Source organism: Homo sapiens, chromosome 3, assembly GCF_000001405.40.
Source record: "Homo sapiens chromosome 3, GRCh38.p14 Primary Assembly".
In the NCBI taxonomy this organism is placed as follows: Eukaryota; Metazoa; Chordata; class Mammalia; order Primates; family Hominidae; genus Homo; species Homo sapiens.
The window spans coordinates 48446675-48469575 of NC_000003.12; the positions used below are offsets into that span (position 1 = coordinate 48446675).

The window sequence follows — 22901 nt, forward strand, 5'->3', positions numbered from 1 at the left end:
GTTCGTCATTCCTCCGCGCCCTCCGCCTGCCAGCTGATTGGCCCCTGGGCCAGGGGCGGGGCACTCGCGGCGGAGGCAAGCGGCGGCGCGCGGACGGTTGGTCCAGTTCTCCGGCCTGGCGGCAGGCAAGTCTAGCTCGGCGCTGTCGGATACTTGGGGTGAGCGGAAAGCATGGCGGGGACCTCCGCGCCAGGCAGCAAGAGGCGGAGCGAGCCCCCGGCGCCTCGCCCCGGCCCGCCGCCGGGCACCGGGCACCCCCCGAGCAAGCGGGCCCGGGGCTTCTCCGCAGCCGCTGCCCCGGACCCTGACGACCCGTTCGGCGCGCATGGGGACTTCACTGCCGACGACCTGGAGGAGCTTGACACCCTCGCGTCACAGGCCCTGAGCCAATGTCCGGCCGCGGCTCGGGACGTGTCCAGTGAGTGCTCCTCGCGGCCTTTTGCTCGGAGGGAGTTGTCAACCGCGCCAGATCCCCTTGATGGCTGTGGCTTCGGAACCTCGCGGCCAGCACTGCCTTTTCGCCTTTTTAAAATATGGGAACACCCTGATTTAAGCAGCGGTTGTCTTCCAGAAGGTCCTTTGATTTTAGGGGGAAATGCATTAGCCAGGTCAAACAGCCGATTTGAAACACAGAAGGCTAAGTTGACATTTTACGTTATTTTCTAAAGTTTAGGCCACTTGGTTCTTGGTTCTAAGCAGAGATCCTTGGAACACACCTACCACCACCATCAGAACCATCACTACCCATGCATGGGGACCCATTCTTGTGACAAGTTTGAGCGGCTTTAGATCTTATGAAGCCCACTGTCTCCCTTGGGCAGTGTGAGCATGGGAGGAGCCAGACACAGGCAAGAGATGAAATAAATTTATTCTTTTATACAACCAGTAAACTGTGCTAGGTGCCCAAACGTGAGGAACTGCAGCTGACCTTACAATGAACAAAATACAAAAACTGTCCTTCATGGAGCTTACATTCTAGTTGAGGAGTGAGTGAAGTCTTGAGGACTCCCAGAAAGAGAAATGTTTTGAGTGCACCTTGCATCTGTACTTGGGTGTCTCAAGGCACCTTAAACTCAACACGATCATTTCCTGGAAACCCAGTCCTCCTCCAGCACTTCTAGCATGGTGCCGGCAAAGCAGACATTCAGAGAATGATGACCAGATGTTCCACAAGGAAGTAACTAGCACGACTCTCCATCCAGTGGCACAAAGCGACTCTTCCCCTTTCCTTGACTCTACATCTAATTTATTTGGAAAGCATGTCAAGCTTACCTTCTTAATCCTTCTCTGGAGTCTATCCTATTCACATTGCTTCTACCAGCTGCCTGATCTGTGTTACCATGAGTCCTCTCTTGAACAATGGTCTGCTAAATTGGTTTCCCATTTCCAGTCTTGACTCCCTACAAGTGAGGCTTCACATCACATTCTGAGTGATCTTTTCAAAACTCAAATCTGGCTGTGTCTTACACAGATATACGTGAACACCCTTTTTTTTTTTTTTTTTTTTGACGGAGTCTCACTCTGTCACCCAGGCTGAAGTGCAGTGATGCCATCTTGGCTCACCACAGCCTCTACCTCCCAGGTTCAAGAGATTCTCTTGCCTCAACCTCCCGAGTAGCCTCAGCCTCCCAAGTAGCTGGGATTACTTGTGCCCGCCACCATGCCTGGCTAATTTTTGTATTTTTAGTAGAGACGGGGTTTCGCCATGTTGGCCAGGCTGGTCTCAAACTGCTGACCTCAGGTGATCCACCCGCCTTGGTCTCCCAAAGTGCTGAGATTACAGGTATGAGCCATCCGCACCCAGCCATGAACACCCCTAATGAAAGCCCTTTAATAATTTCTTATTTCTTCTAGTGTGAAGACCAGAATCCTTAACATGGCCTGAAAGGCCCAGCCTGGTTTGGCCCTTTCTCACTCTCTGGGTCCTGGCTGCACTAACATTCTTTGAATTCTCTCTGCTTCTTTACAATACAGGAACTTTATACATTGTTCTTTCTTTGTACATTGAGTATACTTTTCATTCATTCATTTCCACTCATCTGGTTAATTCCTACTTGTCCTTCAGCTCTCAGCTCCTTCAAGTCTTCCCTAGGGAAATGTTCCAATCATCCCACTTAAGTCAGATTGCTGTCATATTATAGGCTTTCCTATATTTGTTCTCTTCTGCAGTTCTTAATCACAGTTGTAATTTTACATTTATCTGTGTGATTATTTGTTGAATGTCTTTTAAGCTCTGTGAGTGTAAGGAAGTATCAATTTTGCTCACTATTGTACCTGTAGAGCCTAACATGCCTGGCATATTGCATGTGGTCAGTAACTATTACTGAATAATAAGTAGATCATTGAGTTCTGGCCAATGAGATCTCCTCAGGCTTTAGATGAGACTCTTGGAATTGGATGAAGGATAGGGAAAGAATAATAGGATCTGTTGTTTTAGAAGGATCATTTATGAGTTTCAGCCGGGTGTGGTGGCTCACGCCTGTAATCCCAGCACTTTGGGAGGCCAAGGTGGGCTGATCACTTGAGGCGAGGAGTTTGAGACCAGGCTGGCCAATATGGTGAAACCCCGTCTCTACTAAAAATATAAAAATTAGCCGGGCGTGGTAGCACACGCCTGTAATTCCAGCTACCTAGGAGGGTGAGGCACAAGAATCGCTTGAACCTGGGAGGTGGAGGTTGCAGTGAGCCGAGATCACGCCACTGCTCTCCAGCCTGGGCAACAGAGCGAGACTCTGTCTCAAAAAAAAAAAAAAAAAAAAAGAAGGATCATTTATGAGTTTGAACCATGTTCTTAGGTTGAAAAACATCTATATTGCTTACTAGATCTTTCCCTGCTTTGCTCTCAAGAGTAATTCTTCCCAGCACTTTGGGAGGCAAAGGCAGGAGGATTGCTTAAGCCCAGGAGTTCAAGACCAACCTGGGCAACATAAGGAGACCCAATCTCTACAAAGAATTTTAAAATTAGCCAGGCATCCAGGCACAGTGGCTGACGCCTGTAATCCCAACACTTTGGGAGGCTGAGGCGGGTGGATCGCGAGGACAGGAAATCAAGACCAGCCTGGCTAACATGGTGAAACGCCATCTCTACTAAAATCCAAAAAAAAAAAAAAAAAAAAAGCCAGGCATGGTGGCACACACCTGTAGTCCCAGCTACACAGGAGGCTAAGGCAGGAGGATCACTTGAACCCAGGAGGTCAAGGTGGCAGTAAGCAGTGATCACACCACTGCACTCCAACCTGGGTAACAGAGCAAGACCCTATCTCAAAAAAGAAAAAAAAAAAAAAAGTGGGTATTTTCAGCATTTTCTGGCAAAAGTGGGAAAATATTGGGTCCTGAAATGTATATGGAACTATTTTTTACAGGTGATCATAAGGTCCACAGATTATTAGATGGCATGTCAAAAAATCCTTCAGGGAAAAACAGAGAAACTGTTCCAATTAAAGATAATTTCGAATTAGAGGTACTTCAGGCACAATACAAAGAACTTAAAGAAAAGGTAAGTGACTTAACTTGTGGTTTTTGTAGCTAATTCATTCACTTACGTGTTTAAAAGCATTGTACAGTAAAATATACAAAAGTTGTAAAACAAGTGTCTAGATTCATCCCTATGACATGGGAAAAGACTAGGGAAAGAAAACCAGAAAGTTTAGGCTGAAAGAAACTAAATTGTGAGATTCCTAATGCCAAAGGCAAGAAGAAAAACACTGTATACCAGATCCAAAAAGAGATACAAACTGTTAGGGTACTAAGATGAATTTATAGCATGTATCTTCATGTGAATAATACAACTTCATAATGGTTGCTATTTTCATTAGCAGCTTTGCAAGAAAGCAGACACTTCATATCACCATCTGTAGGTCCCTAAGAAAACCAGGAATATGTGGAATTTTAGTTGTGCAAGGTATGTGACCCAGATTTTTTTTTTTTTTTTTTTTGGAGATGGAGTCTGTCATCCAGGCTGGAGTACAGTGACACAATCTTGGCTCACTTCAACCTCTGCCTCCTGGTTTTAAGCGATTCACATGCCTTAGCTTCCAGAGTAGCTGGGACTACAGGTGTGCACCACGACGCCCAGCTAATTCTTGTATTTTTAGTAGAGACGGAGTTTCACCATGTTGGCCAGGCTGGTCTCAAACTCCTGGCCTCAGCCTCCCAAAGTGTTGGGATTACAGGCATGAGCTACCACACCCAGCGACCCAGATCGTTAATGCCTCTTAGAGCCTAAAGAATCCGGCCAGGCGCGGTGGCTCACACCTGTAATCCCAGCACTTTGGTAGGCCGAGGCCAGTGGATCACCTGAGGTCAGGAGTTCAAGACCAGCCTGGCCAACATGGTGAAAACCCGTCTCTACTAAAAATACAAAAATTAGCTAGGCATGGTGGCGGGCACCTGTAATCTCAGCTACTCGGGAGGCTGAGGCAGGAGAATTGCTGGAACCTGGGAGGTGAAGGTTGCAGTGAGCCGAGATCGTGCCATTGCACTCCAGCCTAGGCGACAATAGCAAGACTCCGTCTCAAAAAAAAAAAGGAATCTGGTCAGGCAAGGTGGCTCATGCCTGTAATCCCAGCACTTTGGGAGGCCAAGGTGAGAGAATCGCTTGAACCCAAGAGTTCAAGACCAGCCTGGGCAATACAATGAGACCCTGTCTCTACAGATAAAAGTGAAAATTGGCCAGGCTAGTGGCACATGCTTTGTAGTCCTAGCTACTCAAGAGGTTGAGGCGAGAGGATCACTTGAGCCCAGGAGTTCAAGGTTACATTGAGCTATGATTGTGCCACAGCATTCCAGCCTAAGCAACCCCATCCCCCTCCCTGGCAAAAAGAATCTGCATGCATGAGTGGCAAGTGTATGCTTAAGCTATCTTGATGAATATCAGCTGTCCCATGAACAGGCCTAGCAGACCATGGTGACATCTGGTTGCTGTGGATATATTTTGAGTACTCATTTGTCTGTTTTTCCTGTGCTTTCTCCATCTCCCCAACTACATGTTAAAACAAAGTACCTAAGTAGTTTTCTCTTACAAAGTTTTCACGAGATTAATTTGGGATTTACAGATGAAAGTAATGGAAGAAGAAGTTCTCATTAAGAATGGAGAAATTAAAATTTTGCGAGACTCACTACATCAGACGGAATCCGTTCTAGAGGAACAGAGAAGATCACATTTTCTTCTTGAGCAAGAGAAAACCCAAGCACTCAGTGACAAGGAAAAGGAATTCTCCAAAAAGGTGACCCAGAGCATTTGTTTTGCACCAGCTTTGCCTGCCCACTGAGTTCCTTTGACCAGGGTTGCCTGTAAATCTTCCAGGGAGATTTCAACACTTGTTTGTCTTAAATACTTTCTGCTATCATCTCATTGCCATCCACTCTTCTTCCAGGGTCTGGATATATTTTGGAAAGGGATTTAGATGAAACTCTATTTTGCTGTGGTAGTTGGTCTTGGCAGGAGTAAATAACTAGCTTAGCATTTCTAGAAACAGGTTTACATTAAGGCTCTTTTGCTAGATCAGAAACTCAACTGACCTGGCTTAGGCTAAAAGGAAACGTATTGGCTTCCATATCCAAGTCTGGGAAGAACCGGGGTATGCTGGGACCTTAAATGACTTAAATCTTGCCAGGACATTTTTATTCTCTATGCTATAAACAGGCTCTATACTTATGGTAGAGGGTGTGTTCTCCAGAAGCTCCTGGGCTCATATTTTATAAATACAGAGCAGAATTAAGACTTAGGGCCACATGCAGTGGCTCACACCTATAATCCAGCACTTTGGGAGGCTGAGGTGAGAGGATTACTTGAGCCAGGAGTTCGAGACCAGCCTGGGCAACTAGTGAGACCTCATCTCCACAAAAAAGAAAAAGAAAAAATGAACAAAATTATCCAGGCATGGTGGTGTGCACCTGTAGTCCCAGCTACTCAGGAGGCTGAGGTGGGAGAATTGCTTGAGCCCAGGAGGTTGAGGCTGCAGTAAGCCATGATCATGCCATTGTACTCCAGCCTGGGCAATAGAGCGAGACCCTGTTTCAAAAAAAGACTTAGGCTCCCTCATCTCAAGTTTTAAAATTCTGAGAAAGGCTCTGATTGGTTTAACTTGAGTCAGTTGTCTGTCCCTGGCCAATTGCTATAACCAAAAGCAACCAAAAGCAAAAAAATGACAGCTCCCATTCTAATAAAATAGTCAGAGGTAGGGAAATTATTGAATTTTTTTTTTTTTTTTTTTTTTTTTGAGACAGGGTCCAGGGTTTCACTCTCTTGCCCAGGCTGGAGTGCAGTGGTGCAATCACAGCTCACTGCAGCCTTGACCTCCCAGGCTCAAGCAATCCTCCCATCTCAGCCTCCCAGGTAGCTGGAACTATAGGCACACACCACCAGGCAAAGCTAATTTTTAAATTTTGGTACAGACAGGGTTTTGCTGTATTCTCCAAGCCGTTCTCAAGCTCCTGGGCTCATGCAGTCCTCCCACCTTGGCCTTCCAAAGTGCTGAGATTACAGGCGTGAGCCACAATGCCCAGCCTGTTTCTCAGGGAAAGGAAAATGCTATTCTGGAAGGAAAAACAGTAGGTATCCAGTACCTACTACAACTTTCCCTCAGCACCTCCTCATGCTTCAATCTCAAGGACATGGGATCTTATTCTCATTGTTTCATTCAGCAAACTTAGCAAACTTTAAGCACTTACCTGTGCCCATCATTAACCGCAATAGTTAACTTTCTGTATAAGTGATGAAGAGCAAGGAATTTGCGGTCAGACAAACCTGAATTTGAATCCAGGCTTCATCACACATAAGCAGTGACCTCAAGGTAATAACTTAAGCTCCCTGGCTCATTTCCCTTATCTGTTCCAAGACATAACCAGAAAGGTTGTTGGGAGACTCACACATTCTTGCACTTACTGTGTCTGGTGCTGGGCCTGGCGCAGAGTGTGCTTGGGGAATGATGGCAGTTACTGTTGGCTGTAGCAACTGCAGGCCAGAGCAGCAGGTCTCTCTATACTGCACAGTGTCTTGGTAAACTATTCCAACTACTCTGCCCAAACTTTGAGGAAGACCTGGAATTGTGCACCAGTGCGTTCGTTAATAAAGGTCAATATGTTACTGCTGACATAGGGCACCTTACCAAGCTCTATGCTGGGTATTTTACACTCATCATTCTACTTAATCCTCCCAACTATCATGAAGACAGGTGTTTTATGTTACAAATAAGTTAGGATTCAAAGACATTAAATAAATGGTGGGCTGGTATTTAATTCTTTTTTTTATTTTTTAAATTTTTTGTAGAGGCAAGATCTTGCTATTTTGCCCAGGCTGGTCTCGAACTCCTGGGCTCAAATGATCCTCCCGCCTCAACCTCCCAAAGTGCTTAGGATTACAGGCCTGAACCACCACACCCGGCCAGGGCTGGTATTTAAACCCTCACAAACTACCCTTACAATAGAGTCCAGTATCTTTTTAGAGTACCATATTGTCTTTCAGAAAGAAAGCTAATGTTTAATATTTTAGGACATTTATGTCACAGCAGACTTTCATATGTATTTTTCATTGTTTGTCTTTTACTGGCTTGTGATTTTGAAGCCCAGAGATATTTTTGTGTATATGATGGGACCACTACAAGCATGTTTCTTTTGCCTTCCAGCTCCAATCATTGCAGTCTGAACTCCAGTTTAAAGATGCAGAGATGAATGAATTAAGGACAAAGCTCCAGACCAGTGAACGAGCAAATAAACTGGCTGCTCCCTCTGTTTCCCATGTCAGGTAATGATGGTGCTGGAGGGATAGTTCAGTTTTGCATTATTTAGTAAAAAATCTGCATAACAGTGTCAGGCTGGTCCTAAATGAAGGCCATTTAGACCCCTCCACCTGGGCAGAGATCCTCTTTTCCTGAAGGATTCAGAGGTGGTTTAGATGAAGCTTGCATGGTTTGAGACATCACAGCATAAAGGCCTATACTCTAGAAATGCTGCCTCTGTATGGCACTTTATAAACATAATTCTTCAGGACTAGAAAGACCTGGAAAAATGATCTCCAAATTTTGGGGGTGGGCTAGTCTCTACTTTTATGTAATTTGTTTAACTGATTTTGTTGCAAGCATGGGTGTATTTTAGTTCCAGCTACTTGGAATATTTTTTTCTCATTTGCTTTCTGGGGACCCTTGTCCAACAGCCCCATCCTTTGTGGTCAGATGTGCTCAACTTGTTTTTTTTTTCTTTTTTTTTTGAGACAGAGTCTCGCTCTGTCACCCAGGCTGGAGTACAGTGGTACAATCTCGGCTCACTGCAACCTCCGCCTCCTGGGTTCAAGCAATTCTCCTCCTTCAGCCTCCTGAGTAGCTGGGACTACAGGCACACACCACCACGCCCAGCTAATTTTTGTATTTTTAGTAGAGACGGAGTTTCACCATGTTGGCCAGGCTCGTCTCAAACTCCTGGACTCAAATGATTTGCCAGCCTGGGCCTCCCAAACTACTGGGATTACAAGCATGAGCCACTGTGCCTGGCGCAGCCTGGAAATTTGAACAGTGTCAGTCAGGGCATCTTCTGGTTTTGAACTTTCTACCGCCTTTGTTCATAATGGGCAGTGTGTGAAACTGAACTCTCCATGCCTTGCATTGTCCACATAAGACAAGAGAACTGAGGGGATCCTCTTCACACATCAGTAACAGAAAGACCTCAGCATTATATGATCAGATCAGAGAGTTAATACTGCTTCTCTACCATAAAGACATTGGCACTAAGTTGCTCAGTTTTCAACATACCTAGTAGGTTTATCAAAATTATGATATTTATTTTGATAGCCCTTTTTCTATTTAAAGTCTTTGCATTCTATTGGAAGTCTTTTTTTTTTGAGACAGAGTCTCACTCTGTTGTCCAGGCTGGAGTGTAGTCACATGATCTCAGCTCACTGCAACCTCCACCTCCCGGGTTCAAGTGATTCTCCTGTCTCAGCCTCCCAAGTAGCTGGGATTACAGGCACATACCACCACACCAGGCTAGTTTTTTTGTATTTTTTTTTTAAGTAGAGATGGGATTTCACCATGTTGGCCAAGCTGCTCTCGAACTCCTGACTTCAGGTGATCCACCCACCTCAGCCTCCCAAATTGTTGGGATTACAAGGGTGAGCCACTGTGCCCAGCCTGGAAGTCTTGTGACTATTAAAAAATCGTTTGTTCCACATTGGCTGGGTGCAGTGGCTCACACCTGTAATCCCAACACTTTGGGAGGATGAGGCGGGCAGATCACTTGAGGTCAGTAGTTCAAGACCAACCTGGCCAACATGATGAAACCCTGTCTCTACTGAAAATATAAAAATTAGCTGGGCATGGTGGCATGCGCCTGTAATCCCAGCTATTTGGGAGGCTGAGGCAGGAGAATCACTCAAACCTGGAGGCAGAGGTTGCAGTGAGCCAGGATCACACCACTGCACTCCAGCCTGGGCAACAGAACAAGACTCCATTCCAGAAAAAAAAATAGTTTGTTCCACATTGAAAAGATGTTTTGCACCAGGCATGGTAGCTACAGAGGCAATCCCAGCTACACAGGAGGCTAAGGCAGGAAGATTGCTTAAGGCTAGCAGTTCGAGACCAGCCTGGGCAACATAGCAAAACCCCATTGCTACTTAAAAAAAAAATAAAATTACTGGCCCCAGTGGCTCACGCCTGTAATCCCAGCATTTTGGGAAGCTGAGGTGGGCAGATCATTTGAGCCCACGAGTTCAGGACTAGCCTAGGCAACATGGTGAAACTCTATCTCTAGAAATAACTCTATCTCTAGAAAGAATAAAAAGTTAGCCAGATGTGGTGGTTGCACATCTGTAGTCCCTGTGCTACTCAGAAGGATGAGGTGGGAAGATCACTAAGCCCAAGAGGTGGAGGCTGCAGTGAGCCGTAATTGTGCCACTGGGCTCCAGCATGGGCAACAGAGTGAGACCCTGTCTCACCAAAAAAAAAAAAAAAAAATTAGCTGGCCATGTTGATGTGTGCCTGTAATCCCAGCTACTCAGGAGGCTGGGATTACAGATGGGTGGATTGCTTGAGCCCAGGAGGTCAAGGCTGCAGTGAGCTATGATCATGCTACTGTACTCCAGCCTGGGCAATGGAACAAGACTCTGTCTCAAAAAAAAATGTTTTGGTGGAATTGTAAATAGTGATAATAAAGAATAGTAAAGGAATTATGGCTAATATTATATTTTTGGATGATTAGAAAAATATAAAAATGAGTAAAAGAATTTTCAATAATTTGGATCAAAATCCCTGGAATTAGCCAGTAACAGTGGATCATGCCTGTAATCCCAGCATTTTGGGAGGCCAGAGTGGGTGGATCACTTGAGCTCAGCAGTTCCAGACCAGCCTGGGTAACTTAGTGAATCCCCATCTCTATAGAGAAATTAAAATTTTAAAATATTTTTAAAAAGAAAAACAAATGCCTGGAATTTTGCACTGCTCCTCTGACAAAGAATGGTAGACATATAATAGATAAAACCTTTGGTTAAAACACCTAGACATGAAAAGTTTAAAGTTTGTTAGAAATTTTGTAACCAGATATTTTGAATGGTTTTAGTAGAATCATTACTTTGCTTTCATAGTTAACTTTTTCCAGTCCTAGGAAAAACCCTTCTGTGGTTATAAAGCCAGAAGCATGTTCTCCACAATTTGGAAAAACATCTTTTCCTACAAAGGAGTCTTTTAGTGCTAACATGTCCCTTCCCCACCCCTGCCAGACGGAGTCAGGATACAAGCCTCTGGTGGGCAGAGAGGGTAAGTCCATTAGTCATCTATTGATGTATAACAAGCTACCCAAATATGTGGCTTAAAACAATTATTATTTATTTTCTCCCAATTTCTGTGATCAGCAATTCTGACAAGGCACAGAGGGGACAATCTCTGCAGGGACTGGAATCACTGAAAGCTTGTCTTAAGCTGGAGGATCTATTTCAAGGTGGCTCACTCACATGGCTGGCAGTGTAATTTCTTGCCACATGGGCCTCTGCACATGGATATGGGGTATCCTCTTAACCTGGTGGGTGGCTTCCTCTAAAGCTAGCAAATCCAGAGAGAGCGAGCCAGGCAGAAGCTATCCATTTATGGCCTAGCCTCAGAAGTCACACAGCATCCCCTCTGCCACATTGTATTTGTTAGAAGCAAATCACTGAGTCTGGGCGTCATTCAAGGGGAGAAACCAAGCTTATACCTTTTTTTTAATTTTTATTTTTTATTTTTATTTTATTATTATACTTTAAATTTTAGGGTACATGTGCACAACGTGCAGGTGTGTTACGTATGTATACATGTGCCATGTTGGTGTGTTGCACCCATTAACTCGTCATTTAGCATTAGGTATATCTCCTAATGCTATCCCTCCCCCCTCCTCCCAAGCTTATACCTTTTGAAGGGGAGTTGTGTCAAAGCATTTGTGGGCCTTTTTTTTTTTTTTTTTGAGGCGGAGTCTCACCCTGTCACCCAGGCTGGAGTGCAATGGCACGATCTCAGCTCACTGCAACTTCCGCCTCCCGGGTTCAAGTGATTCTCCTGCCTCAGACTCCCGAATAGCTGGGATTACAGGCACCTGCCATCATGCTTGTGGGCATATTTTTAAACCATCACAGCATCAATTGACCATGCCAAAAACCTAGCTAGTATGCAGGAATCTGTTTTTCTTTTCTTGTTTTTTTTTTTTTTCTTTGAGGCGGAGTCTCACTCTGTCACCAGGCTGGAGTGCAGTGGCGTGATCTCGGCTCACTGTAACCTCTGCCTCCCATGTTCAAGCGATTCTCCTGCCTCAGCCTCCCGAGTAGCTGGGACTACAGGCATGCGCCACCACACCCAGCTAATTTTTGTATTTTTAGTAGAGACAGGTTTCACCATGTTGGCCTGGATGGTCTCAATCTCATGACCTCGTGATCCACCCACTTCAGCCTCCCAAAATGCTGGGATTACAGGCATGAGCCACCGTGCCCAGCCTCTGTTTTCCTTTTGTAGTCCAGCTTTTGAGTTTTTATAACTCAGTCCAGATTGAGGGGATCTGCTGTTTTTTAGAGAGAGACAATCTAACATCAGTAGGTTTTCAGACTGCTATGTCAGTGTATCTTATAAATCGGATACATTGACCCTCTTCTTACCATCAACCTTTCAAATCCTTGGCCATCATAACACTTCTGAGAAACTGTAGCCCACTTACATTTTTGGCATCTAGCAGCTAAAGGGGCAGTGTACAGTAGTGTTACAAGCAGGCAGTAGAGCCCAGTAGCCTGGATGTGAGTCCCAGTAATGCTGTTAACTGGCTTATATGATTTGGGCAAGTCCTTTAGTCTCTGTGCCTCAGTTTCCCTATATGTAAAACAGACCTAATGATAAATCCTTGTAGGGTCACTGAGGAACAAATGGGCTGATGCGTATAGAGCTCTTAAAACACTGTCTAGCACGTAACAAGCACCATGTCAATGTTAGTGGTCACTGTTTTATCTAATTGCCTCATTTTGAGTGAGGCAAACAGCTTGATTTTCTTTTCCTTTCCTTGTATGAGTTCCTGTTTTACATAAGGAAGGTAAAAGATGCAGGGCTCTTGAGCCGCTTTGGCTCTTGTTTGTTCCAAGTTCGAAGAAGTAGAACAGCGTGTGTTTTAAACTCATTGCATGTAAAAGTTTCTAATATGCCCATGCTTCTGGGCTCAAGTTTTGATTTACATTTTATCACATTTCAGATAGTAAGCCCCACAGTCTGAGAGGTGACTCCATAAAACAAGAAGAGGCCCAGAAAAGCTTTGTTGACAGCTGGAGACAGAGATCAAACACTCAAGGTACCAGAATCCCTGCTTCTCCTGCAGGGGCCTGCATGGCTCTGAGTAATATGCAGAAGAATTGCCCAGGCCTCTGAGAACCGGTGCCCCGGGCAGTCCTTCAGAGAGTCCAGGGAAGTCAAAGTATGTGGCTTAAGCAGAAGACTTTATAAAGTGGAAAGGGCCAAGGGCAGGTATGTCCCAGAGCCTTCCGCACCCACAGGCATCTTCCTGGGGCTTAGTGGCAGCCTAGAGGACAGTTGGCATCCAAAGAATCCTTACTGTTTCCTTCTGAAAGCCACCGAAAAGATCTCCCATGTCAGAACCTTCTAGAGTCATCTTGTCTTCTGCAGGTTCCATTTTGATAAACCTGCTCCTGAAGCAGCCTTTGATCCCAGGGTCATCCCTAAGCCTTTGCCACCTCCTGAGTAGTAGTTCTGAGTCTCCTGCTGGCACCCCCCTGCAGCCACCAGGGTTTGGCAGGTAAGCATAAGACTCCTGGAAAGCTTGTTTGGGAAGGAGCTTCCTGGAAGCAAATTCCTTTCTGGCCCTGGCCAGCCTGAGAAGTCTGTGGGAAGGGCAGGCAGCCTGGAGAATTTGGCAGGCAGGCTGTTTGGGGCTCTTGACCTTATCTCCATCCCACACTTAATCTATTTTTCTTTGTGTTTGTTGCCAGTACCTTGGCTGGAATGTCAGGCCTCAGGACCACAGGTTCTTATGATGGGTCATTTTCCCTCTCAGCCCTGAGAGAAGCACAGAACCTGGCATTCACTGGACTGAATCTGGTTGCCCGGAATGAGTGCTCACGTGATGGAGACCCAGCAGAGGGAGGCAGAAGGGCCTTCCCACTCTGCCAGCTTCCTGGAGCCGTGCATTTCCTCCCCCTTGTACAGTTCTTCATCGGCTTACACTGCCAGGCCCTGCAGGACTTGGCAGCTGCTAAGAGAAGCGGAGCACCTGGGGACTCACCGACACATTCCTCCTGCGTGAGCTCTGGGGTAGAGACCAACCCTGAGGACTCAGTGTGCATCCTGGAAGGCTTCTCTGTGACTGCACTTAGCATTCTTCAGCACCTGGTGTGCCACAGCGGAGCAGTCGTCTCCCTATTACTGTCAGGAGTGGGGGCAGATTCTGCTGCTGGGGAAGGAAACAGGAGCCTGGTTCACAGGCTTAGTGATGGAGATATGACCTCAGCCCTAAGGGGGGTTGCTGATGACCAAGGACAGCACCCACTGTTGAAGATGCTTCTTCACCTGTTGGCTTTCTCTTCTGCAGCAACAGGTCACCTTCAAGCCAGTGTCCTGACCCAGTGCCTTAAGGTTTTGGTGAAATTAGCCGAAAACACTTCCTGTGATTTCTTGCCCAGGTATTAAGCTGCATAGGAGTCATGATTCTTTGTGGGTCTCACCTGACCTCTTAAGGTCTAACCCATGGCACTTGTACTTTGCTCACATCTTGACTTATCTACACTAGTTAGTTCTAAGGCTTGGTTCAGGGAGTTCTGAAGTGATGGGAAGTGGGGCCAAATGGGAGAACCAAGGAAGTGGTTTATTTGATTTAATTCTGCCTCTGAACAACAGGTAAGCAAAAGGCACACATGATTAAAGGAGGCTGCTAACCTCTGTGGAGGAGGGCCCTGCCCCAGGACAAGGGTTAAGACAAGGGGCCTCTGAACCTGAGATGTGGGTAAGGTGAAGACCACACATCACAAGCACGTTGAAGTTTAGTGGTTTCCCTAAGGAAGCAGAGGATGTGGAGAGGGTCTGCAGCCCACGGGCTGACCTTGCTGGGAGTCTCTGCCTGTCATTGTGCCCATCTTTAGCATGCATCTGGGGTGGCCTGTTCTTCTTAAGGTTTGTGGGTAGTATATTATAGTGAACCTAGCGAATGAACACTGTGATCATAAATTCCTCCCTTGGGATTCCAGAGCCGCAAGATTGGGGAGAACTGTGAACACAACCAGCCCACCCCCTCATCCAGTAATCCAGTCTCCCTCAGCACTCTACCAAAGGGTCAGTTTCTATGTTGGAATGATTCCACTGGCTGAATATATCTTAAATCATCTCATCTCTGAGCTCAGCACTGCTGTTTCCTAGATCTGTTTCCATCTGAATATTTTTGGTTGGTCTGGCCCATGCTAAAGGTGGTACTCAGCTGGACACAGCACTGCAGTGTAGTGTGGGCAGTGGGATCAGGCAGACTCAGGACTCAAGTGCCCAGCAGGGGCCCAGCTCATAGTGGCTGTTTTTTTTTGTTGTTGTTTATTTGTTTGTTTTTGTTTTTGTTTTGAGACGAAGTTTTGCTCTTGTTGTCCAAGCTGGAGTGCAGTGGTGCGATCTCGGCTCACTGCAACCTCCACTTCCCAGGTTCAAGCAGTTCTCCTGCCTCAGCCTCCTGAGACGCTGAGATTACAGGCACCTGCCACCACACCTGGCTAATTTTTTATATTTTTAGTAGAGACAGGGTTTCACCATGTTGGCCAGGCTTGTCTCAAATGCCGGACCTCAGGTGATCCACCTGCCTTGGCCTGCCAAAGTGCAAGGATTACAGGCGTGAGCCACCGGGCCCAGCCTTGGTTATTTGTTTAATAATTGTTAAATGAATGAATCCCAGGCTGGGCACAGTGGCTCCTGCCTGTAATCTCAGCACTTTGGGAGGCCAAGGTGGGAGGATCACTTGAGCCCAGGAGTTTGAGACCAGCGTGGGCAACAAAGCAAGACTCCCAGCTCTACAATTTTTTTTTTTTTAATTAGCCAGGCATGGTGGCAGTGAGCTATGACCATGCCACTGCACTCCAGCCTAGGTGACAGAGTGAGACCCTATCTCAAAGAATCCCAGAAACCATGTTTTTACTGGTGGTAGACACACCATTATTCCACTCCTGTTGAGCTTGTCCACAGGGACATTCAAAACACAGCCACAGCTGGGCATTTATCTATTTCATGTACTGGGGCTCTTCATAAAATTTCATTTAAAGAGGTTCTTAGGGGCTGGGCATGGTGGCTCACGCCTGTAATCCCAGCACTTTAGGAAGCCGAGGTGGGTGGATCACGAGGTCAGGAGATCGAGACCATCCTGGCTAACATGGTGAAACCCCGTCTCTACTAAAAATACAAAAAAGTAGCTGGGCGTGGTGGCAGGCACCTGTAGTCCCAGCTACTCGGGAGGCTGAGGCAGGAGAATCGCTTGAACCCTGGAGGCGGAGGTTGCAGTGAGCTGAGTTTGCGCCACTGCACTCCAGCCTGGGTGACAGAGCGAGACTCAGTTTCAAAAAAAAAAAGTTCTTAACGCTATCAAAAAATAACTTGGAAACCACTGTGGTGTACATAAAAGTGGATTTTCCTTGCAGTACCTTCTGCAAGTGGCAGATATTGGACATCTTACAGCCCAATAATGAAACCAGGTAATAACCATGTTAAAATTCCAGCTTCCCACAAAGGGCTGCACACCCTGGCAACTAAAAAGCATTGAACTTTTTGTCTGCTGTGCAGGATTTGCCCTAAAGTGAGTTCACCCCACATAGTGAGACCTTGCTTCCTAAGGACACACTGAGGGATATCTTGACCTTCTGTGCTTAGAAACTGCAGATGTCTGAAGGGGTACACACCTGGCCAGACCCCATAGAGTGTTTCAGAATTGCCCTCCTCCCCACCCACCAGGCCAGTCCATCGTGCTCCCCCAGGCTATGTGGGTTGAGCAAACAGCAGCAGTTGCCTTGGGGCTTGGTTTATTGGGGTAATAGCTTTCCTTTTGCCCCTGAGACCTGGGGCAGTATGCCCAGAACCCCTCCCTCCTGCACACCCCACAGTAGGCACATTCTCCCACTGGCAGCAGATGTGTTTTCTGGCAAGTAGAGAAAATGGCTTTCCTTGCCCTGTGAGAGGTCTCATAAGATCCAGCCATAGCCAAGGCCATGTTTGTCACCTCTGGAGGCCTGGTCAGTCCTTCTGTGGGCACAGAACATTTCTCTCCCACCTAAGTTAGGACCTGCATCCCTGTTTGGGAGCATGTGGAAGCCAGGCATCCCAGATCCAGGAGGTCATCCCACTTCCTGGGCGATGCTACACCAGATAAGGGCCTGTCCTCTCAGCTGCAGCAGTCTTGCAGTGGAAGTGCCCACTTGTTCACATGAAACAAGTTTCATAGCAAGTAAGTAGGGGTCAGGCCAGCACTGAAACCCAAGTCTGGCTGAACCAACTCACCTGTTCATACTGACTTGCTCAATTTTCTGTTACCTCTAGTGGAGTGTGAAGGTAGGTTATGGAGCTGGGGTTGGGGAGTGTCACGTCTCTCTGGGTCCCTGTCTTTTAGGTTCCAGTGTGTGTTCCAAGTGCTGCCAAAGTGCCTCAGCCCAGAGACACCCCTGCCTAGCGTGCTGCTGGCTGTTGAGCTCCTCTCCCTGCTGGCGGACCACGACCAGCTGGCACCTCAGCTCTGTTCCCACTCAGGTAAAGCAGGGTGGGGCGGGCGTCTAGACTGCTCCTGCAGATCAAGGGAAGGGTTGGGGTGGGAACAGGGTCAAGGGCCTCAGAGGGCTTCTGCAGTATGTAGCCCACGCTCTTTATGAGAAAGGGCACCCTGAGTGAGAGGTGCGCTGTCCTTTTCAGAAGGCTGCCTCCTGCTGCTGCTGTACATGTACATCACATCACGGCCTGACAGAGTGGCCTTGGAGACACAATGGCTCCAGCTGGAACAAGAGGTAAAAACTCCAGAGCCCCTTCTGGACACTGTCCCCACCCCATCCTAAGAACCAACAGAATCTCCTTTCTTTCCGCTGAGGAGAAACGGAGCTTTAATTCATTTTAGTAACAAGAGTTGATAAAGCAACTAAAGAGGTAAACTCAGTTTGGGGGCTGTGCACCACACAGATGCAATGCAGACAGGACTTGGCAGAGTTGCCTGATGACTGATCCTGTCTTGGCTTTGGGACGTGGGGGCAGAATAGGGGGCTGGAGGCAGGTGGGTTGCTGGTGACACATGAGTGCTTGTCCTGGGTCTTCCCTGGGAAGGTCCCACACCACTTCTTGGACCCCATTTGTGCAGACAAACAGTTGCTGAAGCAAGTGAACTCTTATAGAAGCTTAAGAAAACCCTCGCAGGGACTGGTCTCCTTCTGCCCAGGATGGAACCAATCTGTTCTTGTTCTAGGTGGTGTGGCTCCTGGCTAAGCTTGGTGTGCAGAGCCCCTTGCCCCCAGTCACTGGCTCCAACTGCCAGTGTAATGTGGAGGTGAGTGGGTAGGGGCCAACAGCTGGCAGCTCTGGTGGTAAGGGGGCCCCGTGCAAGGACTGTAGGCCCCACTGCAAACCCCCTCACGTGAGGTGGCTAGGCTGAGCGGATTGTTAGGGTGCAGGCCATGGTGGCACCAGGCCTCAGTCTGCACCCCCCCTCTCTCAGGTGGTCAGAGCGCTCACGGTGATGTTGCACAGACAGTGGCTGACAGTGCGGAGGGCAGGGGGACCCCCAAGGACCGACCAGCAGAGGCGGACAGTGCGCTGTCTGCGGGACACGGTGCTGCTGCTGCACGGCCTATCGCAGAAGGACAAGCTCTTCATGATGCACTGCGTGGAGGTCCTGCATCAGTTTGACCAGGTGATGCCGGGGGTCAGCATGCTCATCCGAGGGCTTCCTGATGTGACGGACTGTGAAGGTAAGCCTGCCAGAGGCCATCCTGCCCAGCCCCCATGGCTTCTTCCAGAGGTTCCCCAACAAGTCAGATTCCTGGGTGTCCCCTCAGCAGGCCCCCGCCCACTGCAGCCTGTTCCAGCACTGGGGCCATTTTCTTTTATCTTCCTGCCTCAGTTCTTCTCCAAGCATATTGGGATGCCTTTTGCATCTATCTGTTGAGTGTGCCTGGCAGAGCCACGGTTTTTCCAGAAATAGCCGTGTCTGAATTGCCTTTGTATCACTTTGTTTGCAGTAGCTGAGGGAGCAGGGCCTGGGTGTGGAAGGGACTGGTTAGTTCCTGCGGACGTTGGGGGAGGAGAGGTGGGACCTGCCCTAGGCCCTGGCACCTTTGGGCCCTCACCAGGAACCTCTCCTTTTTGTCTCAGAGGCAGCCCTGGATGACCTCTGTGCCGCGGAAACCGATGTGGAAGACCCCGAGGTGGAGTGTGGCTGAGGCCCTGAGTGTCCAGCCACATGGTGGCACCAGCACCACTCCTTTCCTTACCACATCAACTGATTAAAGCAGTGACCAGCAGGAACTGCCCAGAGAACTGGCTGGCCTTGTTTCCTGAGTCTGATCTGTTTGGCGGAGTGGGAGGGGTGGAGCAGGACCCGGACCCTGAGTGGCTGGGATCCTTCTTCCTGTCCCTGGCTGTTGCTGAGCCCGTCCCCATGGTAACTGATCTGCCTTGAGGAAGGAGCCCTGCCCTGCCTGTGGAATTGTCCTGAGTCATTGCTTTGGGCTGGGGCCATGGGAAGAAACCATTGTGTGGCAGGGAAGGAGGTGGCTCTTGGCCCAGGCCTAAACCAGGAAAGCCTGGGAAACTGGGACCCACAGGTGGGCATGAAAGGGCCGCAGCAGGGGCTCCCAGCAGTGTGTAAGACCGGGAGCTGGTCTGGCACCACTGCCCTGGTCCTTCCAGCTGCCTGTCACTGGTATGATGGCCCCGGTGCATTGTGCCACCAGCAGGCCACAGCTGTGGATCTTGGAAGGCCTCTGGGGTCCCCCGGGAGCAGGGGAGTGGGTGTGGGGGGGAACGGATGGTGGTGAGAGGGACAGACCAGGCAGGCTGACGAGCAGGGCGGGCCTGGCTCACGTGGGCCTGTAGGCGGGCCCACGCCAAGTTTCACTTCCCGCCACTGCTGCCAGCGAGAGCCGCGGGAGAGTGTGCAGCCGAGTCACTACTGCCTGCCTGCCTGCCTGCTACGGTGAGTGTGGCCCCCACAATGGGATGGCGCAGGGCAGGAGGGCCATGGGTTCCCCCACCCCAGACTAAGGGGGCACTAGGGGAGGGGCCGAGTCATGTGAAGAGGGAGACCCTCTCAGACAGTCGAATGTGCTGGTCCCACTAAGGAAACCACCTCACCCTCTCCAACTTCCTGCCTGAAAATGGGCCCTGGAGCTCGCAGACAGGGCAGGATTGTGCAGGGAAGGCCTGAGATGTGCTTCTGCCCACCCCCTACCCCACTCCCTCCCCTTCGGATCTTAACACTGGGCACTCACACACCCACCCCATGCTCCTCTCCAGGCTCAGCAGCAGGTACGTACCCAACCATGGGCTCGCAGGCCCTGCCCCCGGGGCCCATGCAGACCCTCATCTTTTTCGACATGGAGGCCACTGGCTTGCCCTTCTCCCAGCCCAAGGTCACGGAGCTGTGCCTGCTGGCTGTCCACAGATGTGCCCTGGAGAGCCCCCCCACCTCTCAGGGGCCACCTCCCACAGTTCCTCCACCACCGCGTGTGGTAGACAAGCTCTCCCTGTGTGTGGCTCCGGGGAAGGCCTGCAGCCCTGCAGCCAGCGAGATCACAGGTCTGAGCACAGCTGTGCTGGCAGCGCATGGGCGTCAATGTTTTGATGACAACCTGGCCAACCTGCTCCTAGCCTTCCTGCGGCGCCAGCCACAGCCCTGGTGCCTGGTGGCACACAATGGTGACCGCTACGACTTCCCCCTGCTCCAAGCAGAGCTGGCTATGCTGGGCCTCACCAGTGCTCTGGATGGTGCCTTCTGTGTGGATAGCATCACTGCGCTGAAGGCCCTGGAGCGAGCAAGCAGCCCCTCAGAACACGGCCCAAGGAAGAGCTATAGCCTAGGCAGCATCTACACTCGCCTGTATGGGCAGTCCCCTCCAGACTCGCACACGGCTGAGGGTGATGTCCTGGCCCTGCTCAGCATCTGTCAGTGGAGACCACAGGCCCTGCTGCGGTGGGTGGATGCTCACGCCAGGCCTTTCGGCACCATCAGGCCCATGTATGGGGTCACAGCCTCTGCTAGGACCAAGCCAAGACCATCTGCTGTCACAACCACTGCACACCTGGCCACAACCAGGAACACTAGTCCCAGCCTTGGAGAGAGCAGGGGTACCAAGGATCTTCCTCCAGTGAAGGACCCTGGAGCCCTATCCAGGGAGGGGCTGCTGGCCCCACTGGGTCTGCTGGCCATCCTGACCTTGGCAGTAGCCACACTGTATGGACTATCCCTGGCCACACCTGGGGAGTAGGCCAAGAAGGAAAATCTGACGAATAAAGACCCCCGCTGCCCCATAGCACTGAGTGGTCAATTGGCTCCTACCCTTCTTGGCAGCACAGACCTCTGCCCACACCCAGGGACCTGGGGAGGAGGGCACAGTGTTTGTCCCTCACTTTCCCTAGCAGGATGGTCAACTATCTGAGCCCAGTAAAAGTAGGGAAAACACAGAGAAGCCCAAATGGATGGAAAGAGTACAGCCTGATTCCAATTCCAGCAGCCGAGGCCAGGAAGAAAGGGGGCAGCAGCTCCAAACGATTGCATTTATTATAAACAAGTGTACAGACCCTAGACTCAGAAACACAACAGATTTGAGCTAAGACAGCTCTGGTGAAACAGTAATAGAGGGAGGAGGAACACGAGGTATTCATGTCTGGGCCAGAGCTGCCATCCAGGGCCCCACACCCCACCTTTGGTCCAGATGGCCCATTGGCCCAGGTGTCCCTGCTGCCAGAACACCGTGGACTGGGGTACAGGAGTTGTTGCATATTCCATGAGGCTGGTGTCGGGAAGCAGGGACTCACAGTTGCCAGGTTGTCCATCTCTGAGCCAATTTCCCTCCACAACCCAGGGGTTTCAGTCTCATATCAACTATCATGTTTGAAACAGAAAACAGGCAAAATGTTTGGCTAAAATAAAATGAAAACACTGCAGGGAAGAGAACTGAGTGTGCTGGTGGACAGGAGCCCTGCTCACCTGTGGGAAGGGCAGGGCCAGCAAGGGCAGCAGAGCTCCCTGGGGGCAGCTAGGCTGTGTGTGCATGTGGCCCTCCAGCTGGTCCCAGGGGAGATGCGGGGACAGGGGACAGTCCAGGCAGACAGGTACAGCTGAGTAGGGCTCTGCCTGAGGTGTTCTGGCATCAGGAGGCTGCCTGATCCCCAACAGGCATGACAGGCTCCAGGGAGCAATGGGACATCTGCCCAAAGGATCAAAGTCCAACTTGGCCAGATCCCAAGCTTCGCCTGCATCATGTCCCTGGCTCTGCAACGGGTACCCCCAACTCCGGGGACGAGCCATGGCCTCAAGCAGCAGCTGGCTACGCTGCCGAAACCAGGACACATCTGCATCACACAGAAAGCTGCGCCACCCTGGTGTGACAGGCCCTACTTGGTCACCCTAGGGTAAGCTGGAGAAGAACTCCAGATGTGCCCTGGAGAGGCCCCCACCTCTCAGGGGCCACCTCACAGGGTGCCCCCCACCACCCCATTCTTTGAGTTTGGCTTGAGATTTTAGGAAGCATAATTTCAGGTGAGGAAGAGAACAAAGTCTGGTCCCAGCCCACTCTGGCAAGGATTGTTCCCCACCTTGTCAGCATCAGAGGAAGCCACATATACAGGCAGGACACACACAGCACACATGGGGCGTAAGGAACCGTGCCTGGACACACACAGCACACATGGGGCGTAAGGAACCGCGCCTGCACACCACTCACGCACACACACAACATAACCAAGTGGCAGCCAGAGAGGCCAGGGAATGCTCAGAGGGCCGCCTTCGGGGCATCCATGTAGGCCGGGTTGTAAGGAGGCTGGCTGGCGGGGTAGGGCGCGGCTGCTCCTCCTGAAAGCAGAGAGGACCCTGGTTGGCTGTGAGCATGGTGGGCTGCCGTGTGAGTGGCAGGCAAGCAGAAAGGGGCAGAGGCCTGTTGAGTGATGTAGTTTGGGATGGGTGCCCGAGGGATGCTGGCAGAGACTCGGGAAGTCGGGCAGGGCTAGAGTTGGCAGGGGCACTCACCAGCCAGGGTCTCGTGGTAGGCCGGTGGGCCCATGGGCTGGGCTGGGTAAGGTGGTGGGTACTGCATTGGGTAGGGTGCTGCTGGCATCCCTGGCTGAGGCGGCATGGTGTGGTAGCCCTGGTAGCTTGGTCCAGGGTAGCTGGGCGGCACACTTGGAGGCTGAGGATAAGGGGCATGCACCACAGTGGTGGATGTGGTGGTGGTGACAACCGCT

The 22901-nt window shown here is 49.7% G+C and overlaps 3 protein-coding genes and 1 long non-coding RNA gene across 14 annotated transcripts in view, besides 6 other annotated features; 3 read left to right on the forward strand and 1 right to left on the reverse strand.

The window, feature by feature from the left end:
- Nucleotides 8–367: a silencer, noted in NCBI's record as "silent region_14331". NCBI's record gives its function as "represses an Ori minimal core promoter by ATAC-STARR-seq in GM12878 lymphoblastoid cells {active_cell/tissue: GM12878}" and the evidence as "EXISTENCE:reporter gene assay evidence [ECO:0000049][PMID:35858748]".
- On the forward strand, nucleotides 63–20971 carry ATRIP (ATR interacting protein). 4 transcript variants are annotated; one of them, NM_001271022.2, is made up of 14 exons: nucleotides 63–125; nucleotides 3363–3496; nucleotides 3819–3901; nucleotides 5055–5225; nucleotides 7626–7744; nucleotides 10585–10742; nucleotides 12685–12780; nucleotides 13113–13242; nucleotides 13436–14125; nucleotides 17071–17207; nucleotides 17367–17458; nucleotides 17908–17988; nucleotides 18157–18409; nucleotides 18813–20971. In NM_001271022.2, the coding sequence occupies exons 4-14, from the start codon at nucleotides 5055–5057 to the stop codon at nucleotides 18878–18880; spliced, it is 1995 nt and encodes a 664-aa protein (NP_001257951.1). In that variant the 5' UTR covers nucleotides 63–125; nucleotides 3363–3496; nucleotides 3819–3901; the 3' UTR covers nucleotides 18881–20971. The 4 variants fall into 4 exon arrangements, with proteins under 4 accessions (NP_001257951.1, NP_569055.1, NP_115542.2 ...); NM_130384.3 differs by lacking the exon at nucleotides 3819–3901 and having other exon boundaries at nucleotides 63–418; NM_001271023.2 differs by lacking the exons at nucleotides 63–125; nucleotides 3819–3901 and adding an exon at nucleotides 452–848.
- Nucleotides 105–20971, forward strand: ATRIP-TREX1 (ATRIP-TREX1 readthrough). The gene is made up of 15 exons (NR_153405.1): nucleotides 105–418; nucleotides 3363–3496; nucleotides 5055–5225; nucleotides 7626–7744; nucleotides 10585–10742; nucleotides 12685–12780; nucleotides 13113–13242; nucleotides 13436–14125; nucleotides 14687–14771; nucleotides 17071–17207; nucleotides 17367–17458; nucleotides 17908–17988; nucleotides 18157–18409; nucleotides 18813–19635; nucleotides 19956–20971. It is a non-coding gene; the product is annotated as an ATRIP-TREX1 readthrough (long non-coding RNA).
- Nucleotides 18782–18871: an enhancer, noted in NCBI's record as "active region_19829". NCBI's record gives its function as "activates an Ori minimal core promoter by ATAC-STARR-seq in GM12878 lymphoblastoid cells {active_cell/tissue: GM12878}" and the evidence as "EXISTENCE:reporter gene assay evidence [ECO:0000049][PMID:35858748]".
- TREX1 (three prime repair exonuclease 1) lies at nucleotides 19156–20971 on the forward strand. Of its 2 annotated transcripts, none has more exons than NM_007248.5 (2): nucleotides 19156–19495; nucleotides 19994–20971. In NM_007248.5, the coding sequence occupies exon 2, from the start codon at nucleotides 20012–20014 to the stop codon at nucleotides 20924–20926; it is 915 nt and encodes a 304-aa protein (NP_009179.2). In that variant the 5' UTR covers nucleotides 19156–19495; nucleotides 19994–20011; the 3' UTR covers nucleotides 20927–20971. The 2 variants fall into 2 exon arrangements, with proteins under 2 accessions (NP_009179.2, NP_338599.1); NM_033629.6 differs by lacking the exon at nucleotides 19156–19495 and adding an exon at nucleotides 19556–19635 and having other exon boundaries at nucleotides 19956–20971.
- Nucleotides 19484–20365: an enhancer, noted in NCBI's record as "NANOG-H3K27ac-H3K4me1 hESC enhancer chr3:48507557-48508438 (GRCh37/hg19 assembly coordinates)". NCBI's record gives its function as "activates a minimal SCP1, AML or CMV promoter by ChIP-STARR-seq in naive H9 embryonic stem cells {active_cell/tissue: H9 hESC(naive)}" and the evidence as "EXISTENCE:reporter gene assay evidence [ECO:0000049][PMID:30033119]".
- Nucleotides 19952–20151: an enhancer, noted in NCBI's record as "active region_19830". NCBI's record gives its function as "activates an Ori minimal core promoter by ATAC-STARR-seq in GM12878 lymphoblastoid cells {active_cell/tissue: GM12878}" and the evidence as "EXISTENCE:reporter gene assay evidence [ECO:0000049][PMID:35858748]".
- Nucleotides 20366–21245: an enhancer, noted in NCBI's record as "H3K27ac-H3K4me1 hESC enhancer chr3:48508439-48509318 (GRCh37/hg19 assembly coordinates)". NCBI's record gives its function as "activates a minimal SCP1, AML or CMV promoter by ChIP-STARR-seq in primed H9 embryonic stem cells {active_cell/tissue: H9 hESC(primed)}" and the evidence as "EXISTENCE:reporter gene assay evidence [ECO:0000049][PMID:30033119]".
- The window catches only part of SHISA5 (shisa family member 5), a 36935-nt gene continuing 35235 nt past the window's right edge, over nucleotides 21202–22901 (reverse strand). For 6 of the 7 annotated variants that reach the window (NM_001272066.2, NM_001272067.2, NM_001272065.3 and 3 more), the window contains 2 exons: nucleotides 22687–22899; nucleotides 21202–22512 (listed from right to left, as the gene is read on the reverse strand). In NM_001272066.2, the coding sequence (NP_001258995.1) occupies nucleotides 22433–22512; nucleotides 22687–22899 (293 nt within the window). In that variant the 3' untranslated portion in view covers nucleotides 21202–22432. Of the gene's footprint in view, nucleotides 22900–22901 lie in introns of all 7 variants that reach the window. The other variant, NM_001272083.4, reaches the window with a different exon arrangement.
- Nucleotides 21387–22153: an enhancer, noted in NCBI's record as "H3K27ac-H3K4me1 hESC enhancer chr3:48509460-48510226 (GRCh37/hg19 assembly coordinates)". NCBI's record gives its function as "activates a minimal SCP1, AML or CMV promoter by ChIP-STARR-seq in primed H9 embryonic stem cells {active_cell/tissue: H9 hESC(primed)}" and the evidence as "EXISTENCE:reporter gene assay evidence [ECO:0000049][PMID:30033119]".